General features: G+C 38.7%; 1 annotated feature.

Annotated features, from left to right (window-relative positions):
- Positions 1382–2871: an enhancer, noted in NCBI's record as "VISTA enhancer hs1217". NCBI's record gives its function as "enhancer in: neural tube[5/8]" and the evidence as "EXISTENCE:transgenic organism evidence [ECO:0001131][PMID:17130149]".

The raw sequence follows: 4395 nt of genomic DNA on the forward strand, positions 1-4395 counted from the left end.
CTGCTGCCTGGCTCTCAAATAAGACTGAGAACATTTCCATGCTTGTTTTGTATTCTGGCCCCTCTAAGCATGTTCATGATTTGTCCTCTTTGCTCTTAGTTCAAGAGGGCATTTCCTTTGTTTGTTTCTCCATAGCCTTTCCCCTATATTGTTGCCTTAGTCTTTTATTTCCGACCTATTGGGCAGCATCATAAGGGCTTTCTTTGGCTCAGAGCAAGGAGAAGTTGTGTTGACTAAAGTAAACTAGTTCTCTAATTACTTGCATGCTTACTGTGTATTAGCAGAAGTGGCTACAATTTCAAAAATGCTTTCCCTCCATGGCTTTCACTTTGGGGGTTAGAGGTATGGCAGCCTGGGAGGGCACTTGAGTTAGACTGGATTTTGTAACTGCTTTTAGCACAATATCATGTGAGCGGAAGGCTACAGCTTATGCACTCATCACCCTCCCCTTCTGGAGACTCAAAACTAGTGGATTCAACTGGTCCTACCCTTCTCAGAAGGTGATTAGAAGCTATGCCAGGAAACCATAGCTCAGAAACCCACTCATTCAATTGCTTTTAGCAGTTGCTGAACACTTGCCTCGTAAGAGCCTAGAGGCCCCTTCCTTCTCTCACACCAGTAGGAGGCGTCCTGGTGGGAACAAAAGTGGTGAAGGAAGCAGCGTTGAGGATCAGTGCTGGACTCCTGCTTGTCTGGTCTGTCCTCTGCCCCTACTGACAAGAAAGAAAATGGAAAGGAAGGCTGGTGCCAAAACAACTTCTTGGTGCCACTGCAAAGAGCAGTCTGACTGGTAGTGGGGAAGTGATTAAGAGGTGGTGAAAGGGGGACTAGTAGAAATTTTCCTCCTGTGACTGACCCATAAATTTTGGAAACACTGGTGATCACCCCTATTAAAAAGGCAAAAATATGGGCCACAGAGAGGTTATTCCAAGTTCATTCTGAGACACCAGGGCAGTGCTGGAAAATAAACTTCTGACTCCTGATTCCTGCTTGACGATACCACTCTGGGAGAACCACGTTACCCCTTGCCTGTCATTCCATTCATAAATATAAGCAGAAAAATCCACCTCCAGGACTCCTTTGCCTGCTCCTCCCCCTTTAATGAAACCGTCCATCCCAAACTAGACAGCAGGAGCAAATATGTTACACAGTGAGAGCTTTCAGAGACTCTGTGCAAGAAGGCAAAGAAGACAAAACGTAATAGGTAGAAAAAAAACAGAGAAACATCTGGAAAAAAAATACCAGAGCGCATTATTATGATAACAGCTCCCAGAAAGTTCCCAGTTTAAGATTTCTAGGGATTCTCTTTTCCTTATCTATTGTGCACATGCCCTCAAAAGCAAAGCAGACCTCCTTGCCCTGGCACCTCCCCACAACCATGCATCACTCCCAGCTGCTTTATAATCTTCCTAAAACTACCTTTCTATTTTTAATACTTATTTACCTCTAAAATGCAGACATCCTAGACTGTCTTCTAATGATTTAAGATTGAATAATTAGGTAATACACATATCTGAAAACAGATAAGATGCAGTTTCTTTCTTTGAGGAAATGGTCAGGGGAAACTGCTCTGGGCTGTTTTTAAACGAGACAACCCCTCTCTAGGGGGTTTTAAACACATCCTTTGCCCTCTTCAGCCAGTGCTTGTTAACATCCTGCAGCATTGAAACTGCCCATATTTAGATCAAACATCCAAGTAAAAATTTGAAGGAATGGAGGCTAATTCAAGAATGTAAGATCCATTAAACTATGCAAGTATGCATGAACTGGAAAAAGTGGATCCCATACATAGTGCTATAGCCCTTAGCTGTTAGCAGGTGTGAGTCAGTCAGTTGTACAATTCATTTGTCTACCTAATTGCACTGAAGATAGGCTTTTACTTTGCCTATAACATCTCTAATGAGTAGGTTTTCAGTTCGATCTAACTAATTAATTCTTGTTAACTTCCTTTGCATTGCTGTTCTTTTAATTTAACCAGAGACGGCCCAGAGTTGCTACTAGTGTTTAGTCTCAACTAGATTACCCCAATTCATTAAGGGCTGTAATTGTTGGTCATACCCTTCCAAGCGGTCATTACAACCTCTGGCTTGCATATTGAATAACAGCAATTTCCTGACTCCAACAGACTCTATGTGAGGAAGGAAAAAATGCTAATAAAGAAAGAATAAATGATTCTCGACTCCATTCAGGGCTGTGTAGATTTCTTTTGCAGCAGAAATTGTACCGAGGTGGCAAAACGGGCTTCTTGCAGGCCCCCTACCTCCACCCTGAGCGAAAACAATAAGAACCAAGTGAAGCATTCCCTGCTACTGTGATTACAGCATCCGTAAAAGTGATTATATGGCTGCTGTAATCAACTTCAATGAAAGCTGCCTGTTAGAGCTTCAATAATTACTCATTTCTGTTAACAGCTTGCTTTCATTTAGCACTTTGAGGCCAAGGGGAAAAAAACAACAAAAAAAACTTGGGGCATTTTAATAAAGGATCCCACTCACATGGTATTTTTTGGGGGTAAACCCTTGTGTGTGGGCAAAAAAAAAAAAAAAATGCACATGTAAGTTTTTTGTCCCCTTCTCAATAGCAGGGCCCCTTTCATTTTAAGCTTAGATTCTATTTAACCAGCAAAAGCACAAGTTCATACAGGGTTCAATCATGTGCTGAATGTTTACTGAAGGAGGCACAATAGTTTAAATAAAGTGGTGGTTTTAAATATTTTACCCATTTCTTTAAACAAATTGCCAATCCTTAAAGTCTGTGCTGAACACATTTCAAAAGCAAAATACCACAAAGATCTTTCAATAAAACCCCTGCATGGAGTGTTTCGTTTGCTCTCCTACACTTTCCCCTTCCCTCTTGCTTTGGATGCATTTGATTATTTATTTTTTTAAGAGAGGGCAAGTTTGGGAGAATAAAATTTGTTTTAAGTCCTTAAAATATTTGCTCTAAATGGCTTCTTTGGAGGAGATGAAGCAAAATAAGAGATTATCATAAGCCCAGCAACATCAGTCATTCAGGTAGTCAAGTTTTGGGGGCTCTGAGCAAAGTGTGATTAGGTAGGTAGAGAAATGGTTAAGACCCACTAGAACATGAGTCATACATGACTCACCACTCTCACTTTCAGCATTTCTGAGACACAAACAAGATGCATAAACATAATATTAAACAAACAACGGTAGAGACCTTGTTTTCATCAAAGACAGACAGCAAGACTACTAATGTACAAAAATTCTTTGAGCTCAGTTACCATCCAATAAACCTAATCTCCCTTCCTTCTTCCCAAAACCAACACCCCAGAAAGAAAATACCAAAAATCGTACAAGAAAGTTGGATCCTATTATATTTCCTTGCCTTCAAAGTTCAGATAAGTTGGAAAATCTTCAAAATTTGCTTGCAGTTTCATACTAAATCAAAACTTTTTTTTTCTCCACAACACATAACATTCAAAACATATCAAATTTAAATTCTGGTGCCTTTAAAGTTTGCTTAGAGAAAATGAAAATACTACATGTTATTGTGTTTTATTTTTCTCAAATGGCTAAATGATTAGTGAGAAAAGTCCACTAACACTTTGAACACTGTGACATGAAAATACAGTTATGTGTTGCAGAATGAGGTTTTGGCCAACAACAGAGCATATTTATGATGGTGGTCTCATAAAGTTATAATATTGTATTTTTATTATACTTTTTCTCTGTTTAGATACATAAATACTTACCATTGTGTTACTATAACAATATACATACCCATGCGTTACCATTGTGTGCCTACTATATTCAGCACAGTAACATACTGTACAGGTTTGTAAGCTAGGAACAATAGGATAAACATAGGCTAGGTCTGTACTAGGCTATACCATCTAGGTTTGTGTAAGTACATTCTATGATGTTTGAACAATGACAGAATCATCTAAGGATGAATTTCTCAGAATCTATCACCATCTTTAAAAGACGCATGGCTGTATAATTAAACTTCCTTAATAAAATAAATGTGTTTTATTAATAGTAATAATACTATCAATTTTGATTTTACTTAACATTTTCTTTAAAGGGTCAAATTTCACCTGTATTAAAATTTCACTGCATTGTGATATACAGCACATAGCAAGAGGATAGCTTGTCTAGGAAATAAACATTCCTCAGTAGTACGTATCCATATCTGATACATGAAAAAGATTCCATATTTCTGGGATTTACTGATTTAATAGAGCAAGGAAACATGTTTTCATTAATTTTCCTCCATAGTTGTTCTACTGGGACATTTGAAATGGGTTTTCATCTAAACTGTGTCTTTCTGAATGGCACACCTCCCTTTATTTTCACATTGCACCCACTTCTGGTTTTGATTCAGGGTGTAGTGTCCTCCATAGGACCAGGTATCATTATCAGTGCTCATGGT

The sequence above is a fragment of the Homo sapiens genome, chromosome 1, assembly GCF_000001405.40.
Source record: "Homo sapiens chromosome 1, GRCh38.p14 Primary Assembly".
In the NCBI taxonomy this organism is placed as follows: domain Eukaryota; kingdom Metazoa; phylum Chordata; class Mammalia; order Primates; family Hominidae; genus Homo; species Homo sapiens.